Genomic DNA, 18,799 nt, shown 5'->3' with positions numbered 1-18,799 from the left:
ACTTTGTAAATGCATAGTAACTATTATCTATCATCATTATTATCATAATTATTACTACTGATACTGCCTGGAAAAGGAAGTCCATACAATCCAGGCATTTTTAGTTCAAGATTCATGTGCAACTTCTCTGTTTCCCATTTCATGAGTATTACAAATATTTTTACATATCTTTAACTGCCTGAAAATAAAAAATAAAAGTAATAGACTTTATTTTTAAGAGAAATTTTAGATTTACAGAAAAGTTGAGCAGAAAGTATAGAGAGTTCTTCTGTACTCCCTCTTTTCCCCTCAGTTTCCCTTATTGTTAGCAACTTGCATTGGTATGATCCATTTGTTATAGTTGTTGACACAATGTTGATGCATTATTATTAACTAAAGGCCCTTGTTTGCATTAATGTTCACTCTTTGTGTTGTACAGTCTATGGATTTTGCGAGATACATATTGTCATGTGTATACCATTACAATATCCTACAGAAGAGTTTCACTGCCCCAAAATTCCCATGTTCCACCTATTCATCTCTGCCTCCCCATCCACCGGAAACCACTGATCTTTTATTGTCTCTCTAGTTTTGCCTTTTCCAGAATGTAATATAGTTTGAATCATAGAGTGCATAGCCTTCTCAGATGGGTGTTTTTACTTAGTAATATGCATTTAAAGTCCCACTAAGTCTTTTGTGGCTTGACAGCTCATTTCTTTTTATTGCTGAATAATATTACATTGGATTTACATGTTATCTGTTCACCTTTTGAAGGACATCTAGGTTGCTTTCAAGTTTGGGCAATTCTGAATAAAACCTCCATAATCATTTTTTATGCAGGGTTTTGTGTGGACATAAATTATCAACTCATTTAAGTAAATATCCAGGAGTGCAATTGATGGATCCCATGGTAAGACAATGCTTGGCTTTGTAAGAAACTGCCAACTATTTTTCAAAGTGCCTGAACCATTTTGCATCTCCACAGCAATGAATGAGAGTATCTGTTTCTCCACATCCTTACCAGCATACAGTATGGTCAGTTTTTTAGCCATCCTAACAGAATTTTATTCATAGCTATTCTAATAGATATGTAGTGGTATCTCTTTGTTGTTTTAATTTGCATCTCCCCAGTGACATGATACGGAGTCTTTCAATATGCCTATCATCTGCATATCTTCTTTGGCGAGGTGCCTATGCAGATCATTTTGCTCTTTTTCAGTTGGGCTCTTTTGTTGAGTGTTGAAGAGTTTTTTATATTTTGGATACAAGTTCTTTATCACATATATGTTTTGCTGATATTTTCTTCCAATCTCTGGTTTGTCTTTTCATTCTCTTAAAAATATCTTCTCAGAGCCAAAGTTTTAAATTTCAGTTAAGTTTCTTCTATCATTATTTTTCTTTCATGGATTGTGCTTTTGGTGTTGCATCTAAAAAGTCATATCCAGGCCGGGCGCGGTGGGTCACGCCTGTAATCCCAGCACTTTGGGAGGCCAAGGCGGGCAGATCACGAGGTCAGGAGATCGAGACCATCGTGGCTAACACGGTGAAACCCCGTCTCTACTAAAAATACAAAAAATTGGCCGGGCATGGTGGCGGGCGCCTGTAGTCCCAGCTACTTGGGAGGCTGAGGCAGGAGAGTGGCCTGAACCCAGGAGGCGGAGCTTGCAGTGAGCCGAGATAGCACCACTGCACTCCAGCCTGGGCGACAGAGCAAGACCCTGTCTCAAAAAAAAGAAAAAAAAAGTCATATCCAAACCCAAGGTTACCTAGATTTTCCCCCATGTTATCTTCTAGAAGTTTTATAGTTTTGTGATTTACATTTACTTCTATGATCAATTTTGAGTTAATTTTTGTTAAAGGTGTAAGGTCAATGTCTAGATTATTATTAATATTTTTCTATATGTATGTACAGTTGTTTAATTTTCACTCTGGTAAGTGAATTTACATTATTCTTGGATATATTTATAGGAAGATATTTTAATCACTGAAGACCTAGGAGAATATTGTTTTTCAGCTAATAGTCTCTTCACTATGAAGAGAAATATTATTAGAACATAAAATTGTTTTCTCAGTGAGGTATTTTGACATTTGGTCTTTTACTGTATTTTGGGACGTTTTGGAAAGACTAGAATGGTGTGTATGATTTGGAGCTGGTTGTATTCCTTAATTAAAATGTTTGGTACTGCTCTTGTTTAAATAGTTGTGCTCTCTTAAAACTTTTTTTTTTTTTAATCCATCCCATCCTTTGAGTTACTGGTTTGGAAGATTGTTAAAATGAACCTGGCTTCCTTTCTTTTCTTTTTCTCTTCTTCTTTCTTTCTCATTCTCTTTCTTTCTTTTTAAATCACTGTACTTGGCTAACAAACCTTAACATCTGCTGACATTGTTGATCCTAGGAATAAAAACGTGAGATGATCTCTGGAAATATTTCTAGGCACAGGGCCCAGGCAATCCATAAAACCCATATATTTCAAATCATGCCAGTTTTGTGAAATATTTTCAGAAATACAGTTGTCAGTGATTTGGTTACATAGGCCTGTTTAAAGAAAAGATTTTAAAGTTCTTGAAGTGATTCGTAATTTTCATACTCTCAAACTTCATGAAAACCAGGAGCCTTTTCTTATCCAAATCTTCCCTTTTTGATTGTCTTGGTATTCTTTTTTCCAATAATGTAGCCACTCACATTATGATGGTTTGCTTAGTATTAAACCAAATCATCTGAAACAAAAAGTGAATAAAGGATTTATTTCTTTTAAAAAAATTTACTTAAGCTACAAAGCAGAAATGAGGTCATGTTTTTACTTTTAATAAGGAGTTTTCAAATACAGGCCATTATTGCTAAATGTTGTGTGTAATATGGTGGGCTCATGGTGAAGGAATTAATGGGCAATTTAATGATTAGCATTTGGATTTTGTTTAGCTGTCCTTTGTAGGATGTATTTTTACCTCTTATCCTATTATATAGTTTCCCACATATCATTATCTCACACTTGCCCTCTGTCTAAAAGTATTGACATTACAAAAAATAAATAAGGTAGACCCAGCAATTCCATAGGCATATGTACCTATGTTCCACCAAACACAAGAATGTTCATAGCAGCATCATTTATAACACCCTCAACTGAAAAATACTCAAATATCAATTGATAGTAGACTAGATAAATAAATGATATATTTATAAAATATTCATAAAATGATATATTCATAAAAACACAATACTTTACATAAATGAAAACAAATAATTTACAGTTATACCCAGCAACACAGACAAAACTCACAAAAGAATAAATTCTACATAACTGCATTTATAGGAAGTTTAAAAACAGGCAAATATAACCCATGGTATCAAAAGTCAGGATAGTGGTTACCCTTGAGGCAGGTAATGATTATAAGGGGGCATGAGAAGGCATCTGGGGTTTTGGTAATCTTGTCGATCTTGATGCTAGCTACATGGGACACGTTCACGTCGTGACAATTCATAGGTTCTATGATGTTTGCTTGTATGCATGTATGTTATGTTTTAACAGCATGCTAGAAGAAAGGCAATGTTTACATCAACTTTGGCTCCAGTGAAGGCAGCATTTAATAGGGAGCAGTTAATGATAGGAACCTAGGAAATGCGGGGCAGTTCTGGTTGTAAGAGATATGTGAGGTTTATTTTTTAAAGATTATTTAACATTATTTAAATTATTTACATTTTGCATTTGAGAATTATATTTTTCAAATAAATAATTATTTATATTTACATAAATATAAAACACAGATTTCCCACTGATAGAAATACATAATCATTTCATTAAAATGGTATTTGTGTTGTTATGAAATCAACTATCAGATATTTGAATTAATAGAAGAGAGATCCTTGCTTAAAAGTCTTTTGTGACTTATTGCTTACGGGACAGAATTCTGATTTCCTGGGAAAGAATAGAAGGCCCAAGGTGATCTGGATTCTCCCCAAGTCTATTTACCCCTTCTTCCCCAACCCTCCCTATCACACTGTCTCCAAAATACCCAGCTTCTTGCAGCTCCTCGGACATTGGTTTTTCCACACGAACTAGTCTTTGCTCTAGCTGCTCCTTCTCCCCTGCATGCCTATCATATTTACATATTTCTGACTAATGTATTTCTAGTGCTTAATAAAGTATCTGGTACTTGATGGGATGTCAGTTAATTGAAGACAGCTTGAAGACTCTATCAGTCTCTTATAGTGTACTGTATCATCTTAAATTCTTAGATAATTTTGTGCCTCTTTGTTAGGTTTAAGACTCAGTGTAGGGTGAGTTTCCAGTTTGTCTTTATTCTACTGTAGTATTTAGACCATGCTAGGAACTTAAGTGTGGAATGGACAAAAGATTTGAAGTTTTGAATTGATACAGACACCAAAGTCAACTGGATTTGTCTTTGATGTATGCCTTATAAATTTTTAGCTTCAAATTTACCTTTCTTATTGCATTATTTATAGATGCAAAAGCAGTTGGTATTTATTTTTAGTATATGTTTTGTGGGGAGGTGCTAGGCAGTGAGAGAAATCCAGGCAAGTTAAAGAATTTTTTTTCTGAATAATTTACAAAGCAAATTAAAAAAAAGAATGAAACAAAACCTACCTGTTCATTTTAGGTCCATTTAGATCTATTGTGTGCATTGTGGAGAAATATCTTGCTGCTGACCCCCTGCTTTAAGGGAGAGTGCTGCATAGTTTAAAGGTGCCTATTGGGAGTATTTTCGCTTCTCTGCAGGGCTATCAATAGCCCTCTTTGCTTCACAGAGATGGATGGGGCTGGGGTAAGTGGTGTCTGAGTATTCTAAAAGGAATGAAATCAGTCATCAAGTGAGAGTTAGAATGGTGTCTTTTCATTGTTAACAAGCCAGCCTTCTACCTCTATCCCTGAAGAAAACCCGTGAGGGCATCAAAGCTCTTGCATGCTTTGTTGTTGTTTTATTTGTGGCTTTATAGAGTTGTATCAAGAAACAGAGCACTATCAGTCTTTGTTAAAATACTCCTCCCCTTCCCGATACCTTTCGAAAAGTTTCTTCCTTGTCTATTTAAACATTGAACTCCATTCTTGTTTGACAATTCCAAACCCTAAACTCTGTTGTACGTGAGGGTGGTAGCTGAATTTTCGACAGCTGTTTTTCATAATTTGGTAACTTATTTACCTATTCTCTTCTAATTTTAGGCTCTCATTTGCTGGTCAGGTGGCTCACAGAGGTGATGTAAAAAGGAGGACAAAAGAGGTGTTAAAAAGGAGAATACCCAAAATTTAGTGTCAATAAAGCTGCCGAGCTGAGGAAGGGGATGGCATCAGAATACTGACAATGATTCCTAGAATCATGGGAGGACAGAGATGGGGGGGCAATCCTGAAGTGGTAAACGGGAAGAAAGTTGGGGTTCGCAGATGGTGGAAGCCATGAGTTAAGGAAGGGAGGAGTTGTTGTCATCAGTGGTATTTTACTCCCTCATTTCCTTGAAAATGGCGTCCTATTTCAGAGACTCACAGTGAAGCAAGACTTGACAACACTGTAATGAAACTCCAAGAGGCAGAAAGGTCCATTCTCAGATGGCTTGGTGAGTCATCTTGTGGGGACTTCTGCTTTAAAACATCATTACTCCTTAACTGATAAAGCCTAGGCACAGCTAACTAATCTGAGCTTCAAGATAACCTTACAAGTAATTTGGGAAAGAGGAAATGAGATGCTTTTAAATCTTGCCTTTAAACTGTTAGAATACTGGGGGGTGGTTATTTTGTTAATCTTTATTCTTTAGAAGGAGAAGAATTGTGTTTCTGTAGTAACACATTTTAGACTATCAAAAAAGAAGTGCTTTGACCACTGCTCAAAACCACCAAGTATTTTTTACACTAACTTTAGATTGAGTGAATTTAAAATTTATTTTGATATCTGTCACTCAAAAATTGAAAAACAAAACAAAACAGGAAATGGTGAATAGATAGCCATTGGGAACTAGACTGGCTTTGCTTTTGTAAATGGGGGATTAGGATTCATCTGTCCTATAAAGGACACACAGCATTTAGATTAGACATAATCTGATTGTATTGTAATACAAAGGCCATTCAAGTCAGTTCAGTGTTCAGGGTCTGTAAACACCATATGACCACTGATTGGTCCAGGGGAGAGTATTAACAGAAAGATAATAATGAGTTTTAATCCAAATCCCTAAAGCACAACAGCTGTGGCTTCAAATGAATTTTCTTTCGTATGTTAGAAGCAGTGCTGTGTTTCTTACAACATGATAAATTGAACTATTTCTTTGCTCACACAAAGAGTATGCCTATTTAACTTCACTTTTATTTGATTAGGTACTTCCCTTGTCTCAGATTTCTTTAGGATATACATGTTGCCAAAATGTTTTTTTTTTTTAAATCAGACTACCCACATAAGAGCAAAGCATAAACCAGGCATCTCCTCAGCAAACTAGCTTATATGGCCACCCTGTTTAAAAGTTGTATCTTTAAATATTAAAAAAATTCTCCAATAAAATGATGAAGTCACACTTAAGATATTAGGGAACCATATGCCCTTCCATATGTGTTCAAAATATATGGTGCTTTGGAAATGAAAAAAACAAAAACAAAATTAAACAAAACAAACACAGACCTATGTTCACAATGAGTATTTAAAATGCCAAGTTTATTTAAATATTATTCATAAATTTTATTTTCTTCTTGTCATTTTGAAATGTATTGCATTAGGAAGCATTTATTCTCTGTATTTTTATGTTTTACTAATGTCATTATTCATATTGCACCTACTGTGTAGTGAATGCTATGCTGTTCTGTGTAGGATATTATAAAACATAAAAAGTGCAGAAGAGTCACAATCTGATAAATGTCAAAGATTTACTTTTGTAGTTAACATTTGTTGTCTGACTCCCAAGCACCCTTTCTCTTTCTAAAGTACAGTGCCCCAAATTTTCTGAGCAATTTGGGTAACATAGACTTCTCTTCTAGCTCCAAAAGGGCTCTCATTGGTTTAAGCATCAGTGTGCCCCATCCCTTTAGCCACAGTGATATCTTTTTAGTGATGGTCACATGGACCAGACATGCACAACTGGAGTAGATACTAGCATTTCAATAGAGCTGCTGTAAAAACAGGCTCTGACTTTCCTGCTGGAAGTAGTTGAACTTGTACCCTTAGGAGGTAGGGGAGACCATCTAAAGATTTTTAAAAAGCCTTAGGTGAATACAGCATCTAAGATCTTCATACTAAGGTATGAAGATAGTCTTGGTGACACTGTTCAGCTGGATCAAGCCAAACCCTGTCACTGGAATTTTCCATTACACCAACTAGTAAATACCTGTAATTGCTCAAGCCTTTTAAATTTGAGTTTCAGTTACTTGCAACCAAAAACAATTCTAACTGAAACAAGACTTAAAAATAACTGCAAACCATTGTGTTTGCAAATATTTGGAAACCATCATTTTTGAGAAGAATGACATGCTATTTCAATGATTGACAGAGGAAGATCTTAGAGTTGGATGTTGGGTCATGGAGGTAGAGAAGAATGAACAGTAAAATATAAGAAAAGTTGTCTAAGAATGCCTCTGTCAAAATTATTCTTGGCAGACAAATGCATATTTATAGGAAAATTCATCATCCTACAGGATTTTATTATTTAAAAATATAATTTGAAAATGAGTGAAACATTAAATTCTAGACAATTGGGAGGAAAAAAAATCCTGAAACAAAGTAATACCAATAAACAGAACTTAGGTAGATTAGTATTCTGTACTAAGAGAAAAAATGGGAACAAATAAAAATTTGTGTTAAGGAAAATGTTACTTGATAGTGAACCAAATTTTGACAAAAGGCAAAGGAGGATTTATAAATGAGCTCAGCTTTGTGGCCTTGGATAGCCTGGAAAAGAAAAGTAGGTATAAAATTAAACTTGCTATGTTGAGACACAGCAAACATTTTCATCTTTTTATCTAGAACTAAAATTCACCTGTTTGTGAAACTTGTGCTGCAGCTTTGTAATACAGCATAGCAGTTCTATGTGGTATTTTATGGTAACTGAAGAATTTGATATGGGGGGATAAGACCCAGGCAGAAGAGTAGGTCTCACTTTTTATCACCTCAACTGCTTTATCTCACTCATGGAATCAAGGTTAGTGAATTGGAATATTTTTTCGGCTAGAACTTTCTGACCAGTGCAAAGTTATCTTTGATTCAGCGTGAATTTTGAGCTCTTGAACACTTACTGTTTTTCTCCCCTCCGAAAAGAAGAGAACCCATCTTTAGATGAAAATTTCCAAACAAAGCCTGAAATCTGCTTTGTATCCCTCACAACGGTCAGAGTTATATAATAACTAATAGAACTTTGACATCTTTATAGCTGTTTTTACAGAAAATTTCTACAAAAAGTCCAGGACTGGTATGCCTTATATGTAATGGATGGCTTACTCCCATAAGCACAGAATTCCTATTATTATGTGTTTATTTTTGTGTGCAAAGAATAATTCTTTAGAATGGAAAAAGGTATTCCAATGACGTCATTTTTTAAGGCTTAATGATCTGGGCTCTTTGGCCTTTCACTTAAGGGGGAGATGTGTAGGTTTGCTACCTCTATACCCAAATGGTAAACACATGCCAGCCTCAGTTACAAATTAAAATTCAAAAGTCTAGGGAGGGTCTTTAGGTTCATGATGTGGAGATGACATTCACAGTGCAAATGTCCTCCACAGCTTAGGAGTGGCACTTTCGGTGAGTGCAGGACTCCATCAGACTCTGTTGACCACCAAGGTCTATGTTGCTGCTGTTGCTGCTGATAATTAAGAATATGTTGAATCAGATATAATATTATAATTTTCATCATTATTACCATCATTAAATGGTAGTATTTATTTTTGAATGTTAAAGTACTTTAGCAAAATAAATGTTTTACACGTTAGTGTATTGCCTTTTATAACAGCTAGTTTTGGGTGAAGTGATGTATTAAGCTCTGCTAATTTAAGAAACTAAACAGTGAAATGACCTCCCACTTGGAAAATGTGTGGTTAATAAGTTGACAGGCAATCTACCTCTAAGGGAAGGCTAAGAAAAAGAAGGACAAAAGCCTGTGCTCAATGGACTCCTATTTAACTTATTGCCTTAATAAAATTTGTATTTTAGGAACCTATTGTGTAGGAAATTTTTTTCATGGAGAAACAAGAATATTTTAAATAAGAGTTCTGTTGGCTTCTTTGAAGGTGATCATTTTCTTCAAAAAGAGGAACATAATGTGTTTCTTGCTTTTACTTTTTTACAGAAAACCTTGCACTATGCAGCAGAACATAGTGAATTTTAAGCATATGCTATTGCTAATGAATTATCTCAGCTTTGTCTCTTTGGACACTATAGAAGTACTCTTTTTTCTTGCATCCTATTTTTGTCACTGCAGTCAGATTAATGAATTATGAACTGTACCATTTCATTAGGATAATCAGAATTAAGAGATGATGTTTTCCTTGGGGACTTCTGCTTGGATATATCATTAATCATATTCTGCAATCTATAGTCAAGGCAGAACTGAGAATGCTAGTTTATCTGACATATACTAAGAGGGGAAACAGGTGTCATTTAGTCTATCTTGGGTAAAGCACGTCTTGGTAAAATGGCTAGATAAGGAATGACATCTTAAAATTGCTTCTTATTTAGATCTCTGTCATAGGCCTGAAGAATCTCCTGGGAAACTGTGAAGTGTCCTTACCAAAAGTAAAAGTCATTACTCGAGAGTATTGTTTTTAGTTTTATTTATGGCTTTTAAACCAAGGGGTGTGGTATAAAATGTAAAAGAACGGAACTCTCATTTGGAGGCTTTATTTATTTTCTCTGCAGCTCCTACGTTGTTCTCAACCTCCTGAACTCCCCACTGCATCCTTTGTTGGAGGGAATCCAACTGTCTGAGAGGACATTTTTAATGGGTAATATGAGCATTTCTGATATTAAATGGCTTTAAAGAAATTCACTCACAAAGATCTTTTCAACTGCCCCCAAATGACTCCATTTATGATGACTACTTAAGAAGTGGTATAGATAGTTGGAAAGAGAGGAGGGCATGGCAACAGGAGAGAGAATTCCCTGTGCCCTGACAGTTGGGAGTTTGTGTCCACTGGTCAGCTGCAGGAAGATTTGAGGGCTACCTGTAAAGATTGGCAATTTTTCTTTAATATGTACTTTGAGTAGGAAAAAGAAAAAAGTATTCATTGAAAACTTTTGCCAAAAGTTCCATTCAAATTTTATTAGTTTTGATAGGTTGCTCTGAAGTGCACAAATAGGAAATTTTAGCATTATTTCTAGAATAGGAATATGAAAAATAAATGTGGCATAGTAAGTGTAGACTTACCAATAGCTAATAATGTCATTAAGGTTTTAATGTCTTAGCTAGAACTTCCATTTACAAAACTCCTTTTTCTGACTTAGAATATTTACAAGAAAAAGCAAACATCCACCATTTATCTTCTCTTGTAAAACCCTTGAAATTCATTACTATAAGGAAATTCCTTATAGTAAGTGAGGAAATAAAAAATACAATTATAGCCTTTTAAGAAAATAATCAAAGAAGTAAGTTTCATGTCAAAATTATTCTTGGCAGACAAATGCATATTTATAGAAAAATTCATCACCCTATGAGATTTCATTATTTAAAAATATAATTTGAAAATGAGTGAAACATTAAATTCTAGACAATTGGGAGGAAAAAAAATCCTGAAACAAAGTAATACCAATAAACAGAACTTAGGCAGATAAGAGTATGTTAAGAGTAAAGATAGAACACAGAATTTAATGTTAGAAGATGGAAAAACAATAGAACTGACTAAGCCTGGTTTAAAATCAAACAATGATATGAACATTTGGTAAACTAAATTTTAAAAAGAGAAGGAGAAAGAGAAAATACAAATCAACAAATTTAGAAATGAGAAAAGGGCTATAGTCAGAGTCAAAGAAGATTACAAATTATGCAAATACCTTTATGCAAATATACTTAAAAATTAAGTAATGAAATCTACGTGTTATTCCACATTAACAAAACCAAAGGTACATAGTAAACTGGAAAAGAGATTTTTAAGTAGGTATTATAGAAAATTATCAAACTTTTATTTTAAAAAATTCTTACCACTTAAGAAAACACATCAATGAAAAAAATTTGAGTAGTATATAAATAAATATATGTATATACACACACACATATACACACACATATTCTCATGTACATACATAAACATTCTAAGGGTGTTTGAAAAGTCTGGAAACATAAGATAAACTTATTTTTGACAGTGTGCTAATGACATTTTTTTAAAATGTGCTATGATTTCGATCTATCTCCAGACATCTTGTTAGGGGAAGTACCTCGTGCAATATGTCTAATTGTTAATATGAAAAAAGTATAATACAATCGTATACTACAGTGTGTCCAGAAAGTCTGTAAACCAAGGCAAAAATAGTGTAATAATAGAATTTGACAACATGGCTGCTGTGGACTAAAATGTACCTTTTCCCCATCCTCCCAGAAAGGAGAGGCCAAAAGACCTTTGACCTGTCCTTGAGGTTTGGACACCATCATCTCAATAGTGACTATGACAGACTGAAAGCCATAAGCCCATCCTCAACTTTCGGAGGGCCTGAGCACCTCACAGTGTTCTGCCCATCTTTCCAAGGGGAAAAGTAAAGATTGTCTGTATTTATCTTCTGGGACAGCATTGAATTAGGTTGGCCAAGAAGGAATGAAGTTTCAAGGCTTGGAAGGGGTGGAAAGGTCTCACCCAGAGTTTTGGATTATGAAGCACAGTGGCAGGTCCACTCTGAATCCTGTGGGGCATCCCAGGAAGTGCTAGGGTCTGTGGGTGATAGATGGATGATGTGGTAGAGGGGGAGGTGATGTCATGAGGGAGGCCACTGTGTTCCAGGCACTTAAAGATTCCAAGGTCTGCACTGGCTCGGAAGTGGAGCCACCCACCTGTCCTTGGGGTTTGAAAACCAACATCTCAATGGTGACCACAACATATTGAAAGCCATAAGTCCCTTCTCAAGTTTGCTGAATTTCCTGGTGCTCTCACAGGGCCAGAGCAGGAAAGGGTATGGAATACCAAATAACACTGTTAGCAAATGGATACTCGGAGTCATACTTTATTTGATTTAGAAAAATAAAGCAAGGTGACATTAAGTTCTATTTTGTGGAGTAAATTGTGTGTGTGTGTGTGTGTGTGTGTGTGTGTGTGTGTGTGTATTTATAAACATGCACATATTTATACATATATATCTATGAGGTATTGGCAAAAAAACACCAAAATAATAGCCGAATTCCAAAAAGAAAGCCTACCTTAGTTACTTTCTACCCAGTGAAGAGGCCATTGGAACTGGCACTCTGGGGAAGAGCAGCTCCCCTGGACTAGTTTGATGTTTTTCCAGGTTTATCTTGGGTTTTATAAAATCTGATGAGCATTAGGGCCAGCACTGAGGATGAGAACCTTTCTATTCTTCTTTCCATTGAGTAGACAGACGGTGAGTCACTTGTGTGATGTGTTTCCTCCTAGTCAGCTCTGGATAGTGAGGCCGAACGAACTGACCGGAAGTGTGTTGTGGGAATCAAAAAACAAGTTGTAGTCCAGCATACCGTGTCAGTGCTTCGTGGTACTTAGTTTTGAAAGCTGAAACGTTTCTTGCAATGTTGTATTTTATGATTATGTGTAATATTAACACTCTAGCGAGAGATTAATCATGATTGTTCAGAAATTATCTGTTAAACCTTAATTTAAAATAAAATGATGTTTAATTGAGAGACATCAGTTGTAATACTGATTTAAAGAGCCACTTAGTGAAGGAAAAATTAGTTAATTATATCAGGTTATTTTAAACTGAAAGAAAAATAGCATTCTGCTAACTTATAAAGTGGCAATGTTTAAATTGACTGAATCCTCCATGCCCTGCTGCTAAATCATTTTAGGATATTTTCACACCTAATTTCTACTGAGGTTAATTAACATACTTGGAGGGACCTGTCATTATGTCGGAAAGGCAAATTTTAATAAAACTGCACTTGTATGATTTTTTAAGAAATCTCTCCTACCACATAGGATCCAGGGAAATAAAAAGTCTCTCTAGTTCCTCCTCCCAGATAGATGCTGATATATGCACACCCACACATGCACACACTCACTTGGGCTGACACACACAACATATTACACACATGCAACATACTACACACACACATTCACACACATTCAGTCTGCCACACACAGTCTTCTCCCTTCTCCCCATACATGGTTGCTTGTTTGAGCTGACACATACATAAACACACACACTCTTGCTCAGGCTGACACACCTACACAACATAAAAGTTTGTGTAGCCAACAGTGTTCTACCCACTTTTCCAAGGGGAAAATTGCGTATGCGCATGAACTTTCTCTTTCTCAGATTGACACACATAAACTCACATTGTCTCCTGCAGGCCAACATGCATGCACACACACAGACACACATGCACATGCTCAAGCTGACATGCACACATACCTATGCAGACACACACACAGCCAGTCATGTGAACATAACCACATAGACCCATTCAGATTGACACACACACACACACACACACACAGAGGGTTACACACACAGACAGTGATGTCTACTCACACACAGTTAAGCTCTGGCTTTCTTCCCCGGTGTTTTGTTGCTGACCTCTGACTTTTCTGCCTTTGATTTACATTCTCTTGATCTTTAACTTAGAGGTGGGTGACTCAGACCAATTATTTCATGTGATTACATTTGGAGTGAAATTAATGGTTTTGATACTGGCTCACTTTTATTATTTGCATGTAGTTTAAGAAAACTTCATGGATTTATTCTGCTTTAATATGTGAAAGTGAAAGTTGAGAGATTACATAAGTAGATAAGAAATTGCCTTTTAATATATACCTGGTGAGTCTACAGGGTGAAATGGGAAATTGGCAAACAATATATCATGAAATTCAAGAAACAATTCTCTATTTTGCCAAATTGTAGATCAATGTTCTTATGTCACTTTGTGCTACTTTCAGTTACTTGCTTTCATTGATTATAATAATAAACACTATGCACAATAACAATGATACAATTTAGTATTTCAATAGGAGACAATGAAAAGGTGGGCAGTTGGGTTGCTTTTCTGAAATTGAGAGCTTTCTGTTTGTGAATATATAAGGACAGATATTTGTCCTTCTTCGATTTTCAACAGAACATTGAAAATGCCTAGTGTTATTCACAATGAAGCTTTTACACAATGTGTAAAAGATTGGAAAGCAACATTTGGGACACATCAGATGTTTGTTTCTTGAAGAGAATCTGGAAATCATACTTCTGGGATTTTGTTACTAATGAAGAAAAAGGGAAAAAAATCTTCCATAAACCACACTGGTCCGTTGGTGCATATCTTTTGAAAAGTAAAATGAGATGAGAGAATGGCAATTAGAGTACAGTATATTATATTCTGAAAGGAACAACTAATATTTCTGAAATTTCATGTTTAAAAATGTGAGCTTTTATTTAGATATTTATTTTATTCAGTCACTTTCTTAGTCTTACTAGTTAGATAAGAGAACTTTAGGAAACCGTACCTAGGACAAACATTGAACTTCTATTTGAGGAAGCCCCCATTAGGTATAGTGTTTAGAGAAATTGTCTCCCATGTGGAAACCTAGGCAGAAGATCCTCCTGCTCTCTGCCCTCTTCCCAGGAAGCCTAATCAGGTAGGGCCTTAAGGTCTTCATAAAGACTTTGATTTTTACTCTAAGTGAAATACGAAGTCATTAGAGACTTGTGAGCAGAAGAGTGACATGATCTAACTTACGTTTGTTTTTAAGGAATCACTCCCATTACAATGGGGAGAACAGATTGCAGGGGCTTAACAGATGACGGAAAAGGTCCCTTCGGCGGGGACCAAGGCATTCCAGAGGAGAAATGACTGTGGCTTAAACTAGAATGAAAGTGGAGAGAAGTGATTAGATCCTGGTGTATTTTGAAAACAGGGTAAATAGAATTTGCAGCTCTATTTGAAGTGGGCAAAAAGAAATGGAGACCCGTTGATGATTCCAAGGTTTTTAGCCGAACAGCTTGATGAATGAAGTTTCCGTTTAGTTAAATGGGTAATTTGGGGATGAGGAGTACTTGGGGTGGGGGTTGCTTCTTGGCAGTTTGATAGACATTCAGGTAGAGTAGGCAGTTCTGACTGAGTCTGAAGTTTAGGTGAGACATTGAATCTGCAGGTGTGTGTGTGTGTGTGTGTTATATGTAAGTTGTCAGTGTACAAACATATTTAAAGAAAAGAGCCTGAATGAGATCACCTTGTGAATAAATGGATGTAAGAGGCACAAAGACTGACCCTTGGAGCATTTTAACATTTATAATCAGATAGATGAAAAGGTACCAGCAAAGGCATCTAAGAAGGGTTAATAGTACAGTGGAGTGGTGTCCTGGAAACAAATACATTATAATTTTCAAGAATGAAGGATTCCTAAATGTGTACTGTAACACATAACAAATGTCAAATAACATGAGGACTGTGAATTGACCACTGAATTTGCAAATGTCGGGGGCATTAGTGACCTGGTTAAGCGCTAGAGTAGTGTTGAATGAATCAAAGAATCTAAATCAATGAATCAAGCAATCAATCAAGATATGGCATAGACATGTTAAAAGAATTGTTCTCTGGTAAAGAAGATAGTAACTGTATTTGGTTCCTGAAACAAAATGATTTCATGATCTTGACATGTGTTTAGGTAAACAGAAATACCGGTATAGTTCTTTTCCCTATTTTCAATTAGCTCCTGCTCCCATTCAGTTTCCATAATCTTTATCATTCTTCTCAAGTTCTATTTCAGTCTCAGCTGATGAGCTTCCCTCATGCTTGACTTAGGTAATAAAAGTGAACATCTCCGAGTTCAGTGAATGTTCTGCTCCCATTACCTGCATATAAATCTATCTGTATTTGCACCTCTCCAGTACTTCCTCCTCACAGGTATCAAATGAAAGATGTCCCTCCTAGACAAGTCTCTCTACCTATTCTCTTGATGTCTCTTTTCTGCAGGATCCTGGTGACATTCATTGTTCCTTTCTTTTAAGCCTTTGTCCTCTTCCTCTCTCTATTGCTTCTCCCAGCTCATCGATTTGTTTGCTCATAGCTCTTCCCGTTTTGAAAGCACAGGCCTTTCCCCAATTTGTATTCCCGTCTAACTAGACAAAAACGATAGAGACATACTGTGAAGTATTTTAGAAATAAGGGAATGAAGAATGAAGAAAATCATAATCACCCATAATCTTATTCTCAGAGATGATCATTATGTGTTTACTTAAATTTTTTTATATGCATTTTTACCAACTGTGATGCAACTATATATACACTTTTAAAATCTTCCTTTCATTCAGTTAACATCAGTGTTATTATTTTTCTTCATGTGTTTGTTTATTTCAGCTAGTTAAGGCCATGTAGTAAATTGTATCTCAGAAGTCCTCCAGCCCTGGACTTCATGTACTTTTCCAAAGGCTTGAAATAGTTTAAAAGGTTTCTACATGAAAAGGCCTCCACAACATTTATCCACACAGCCTGAGGGCGCTTCAGTATCTGGACTTGGTGGAGTAGTTTTTGGGGACAAGACCAGGTCGCCACCATTGAGGGCCCTACAGTCCACGGTCTCTATGATGTCGACCATCTCCTGCTTGTCCTCCATGGCCCAGTTAATCTTGTTGTTGCCAGTCCCCAAGACAACCATGATGTGCTTGTTCCTGAAGAAAAACATGATAGTGCATGGATCATATAACTCATACATTTTGTTGAAGTCAGGTACTTTGGTAATATTCACAAGAAAAATAACTGCAAAATCTTTAACCTTCTCAATGATGCTGTACAAGACCTTATCCATTTTCATGCATGTGGGGTCCCAGCCGTGGCCGAAGCGAATGACAGCCATGCAGTCCTCTCCTGGGAGGATGGCCTGGTCCACCTGCCAGCTGCTGTGGAGGTGCAGGAGCATGTGTGACATGATGGCCCACATACTTGCCACTGCCCAAGGCCAGGTGCCAATGAGGGCCCTGCGTGAGAAGCACAGCCGGCCCCTCACTCCCCAGCCCCTTCTGCCCCTGAGGTCCCTGAAGACCCCCAGGGCCTGCCCATAACCCCCCAGCAACACTGGGCCTGCCTCATTCACATAACTTTGTAACACTTTCCACATGTTGTTAAACAGGTTTGTAAATAACTATTTTAAATAGCTAGAGTATTTGATACTGTGGTTATGCTATGATTTATATATTCATTATTTTACTGGATTTTTTAACCTACTTTCTATTTTTGATTTAAATAAAACTAAGGTGAATGTCTTTGTGTATAAATCTTTTACTACATTCCACATTATTTTCTAGGCTAGAGTCTGAAGGAAATTGCTGAGTCAAAGGATGTATACTGTTTTATGACTCTTGTTTGCTATTGCCAGATTGTTTTTAAAAATCATTCTTCCAATTTATATGCCTGCTGGGAAGTGTAAGAATGCCTTTCTCCTGAGATTCTTAACTTTAAAGAGATTTTAAAAGTTGCTTTATGAGACAGTCCTTGCTAATTGGACAATTTAATAAGTGTTATCTAATTTTTTAAACATATTTATTTGACTACTATAGGGTGGATGTCACTTTACCATGTTTACAGTAGTCATTTATTTTTCTATTATGAATTTTCCCTGCTTATCCTTTACCCATCTTCCACCTTCCCTGAAGACGTTTTGGTAGTTTTTTGTTGACTTGTATGATTTATCATATTAATGTTGTCAACCATTTGTCTGTCATAGTGGCTGTAATAATTTTTTCCAGTTTTCTGCCTTTTACTTTCACGCATTTATTAATTAAAAATTTTAGGAGTCAAATGACCAATTTAAAATTAAACTGTCCACAAAATTGGAAGCCCCAAAATAGACCCAAGTAAATAAGATAAACTGGCATATGTTTAAGGTATTTAATACATTGGGGACAGATGTCCAAATCTGGGGGCAAACACTGTTAGAATTCTTTCTCATATGTCATACCAAAATAAATTTCAAGTAGACTAAGATTCAAATGTTAAAAAACCCAAAAGGCATAAGAGCATGTGAAAGAATGTAAGTAGATATTTATATAATCATGAGATAGTGATGATCTTTATCAGTACGTCAATAAAGGTAGAAACCATTAGAGTAAATATTTTTAAATGTGACTAATTTGAAAGCTTCCACACAATAAAAATTAACAAAGATAAAATACAAATGACAAGCAGGAAAAAATAGTTATAAAAATATGGAAACTATTGATTTTGTAAATATTATAGGAGAGCTCTCTTGCAAATAAATTTTAAAATTCCAAATAGAACATTGATCAAAGAACATGAAGGAATAACTTAGAAAAGAAGAAATATTAATGACTAAGAAATATTTAAAAAATCAAACTTTACTAGCTTTCAAAGAAAGTAAAATAAATACATAATCTTTGGAAATATATAAATGTGCTTTGTTTTTGATACTTTCTAGTAAGTGAATGACTCACATACTGAGTCATTCAGTAAGGTCTTTAGGTACTGAGCATAGTACTCAATAGTTTGTCAACCCTTTCCCCCTTCTCTCCCTCTGTGCTCTAGTGGTTGCCGGTTTTTATTGTTGCCATCTTTATTTCCATGAGTACCTAATGTTTAGCTCCCACTTATAAGTGAGAACATGCAATGTTTGGTTTTCAGTTGGTGTGTTACTTCACTTAGATTAATGGCCTCCAGCTGCATCCATATTGTGGCAAAACACATTATTTCATTCCTTTTTTATGGCCACATAGTATTCCATGATGT

The 18,799-nt window shown here is 35.8% G+C and overlaps 1 protein-coding gene and 1 pseudogene across 10 annotated transcripts in view, besides 1 other annotated feature; one reads left to right on the top strand and one right to left on the bottom strand.

The window, feature by feature from the left end:
• The window catches only part of ZNF385B (zinc finger protein 385B), a 419,631-nt gene that overhangs the window by 30,377 nt on the left and 370,455 nt on the right, over positions 1-18,799 (top strand). Inside the window, exon 2 of one of the 10 annotated variants that reach the window (NM_001352808.2) lies at positions 9,814-9,899. The exons of the other annotated variants lie outside the window; for them this stretch is intronic. The gene's annotated coding sequence lies outside the window, so the exon portion shown is untranslated. The remainder of the gene's footprint in view (positions 1-9,813; positions 9,900-18,799) is intronic. 10 annotated transcript variants of the gene reach the window in all.
• Positions 9,428-9,628: a silencer, noted in NCBI's record as "peak3953 fragment used in MPRA reporter construct". NCBI's record gives its function as "represses an SCP1 promoter by STARR-seq MPRAs in K562 erythroleukemia cells {active_cell/tissue: K562}" and the evidence as "EXISTENCE:reporter gene assay evidence [ECO:0000049][PMID:32103011]".
• TXNL4AP1 (TXNL4A pseudogene 1) lies at positions 16,398-17,142 on the bottom strand (annotated as a pseudogene).

This window comes from Homo sapiens, chromosome 2 (assembly GCF_000001405.40).
Source record: "Homo sapiens chromosome 2, GRCh38.p14 Primary Assembly".
Lineage (NCBI taxonomy): Eukaryota > Metazoa > Chordata > Mammalia > Primates > Hominidae > Homo > Homo sapiens.
The sequence above is the reverse complement of the archived record's forward strand: the minus strand, read 5'-3'. Positions and strand labels throughout refer to the sequence as shown.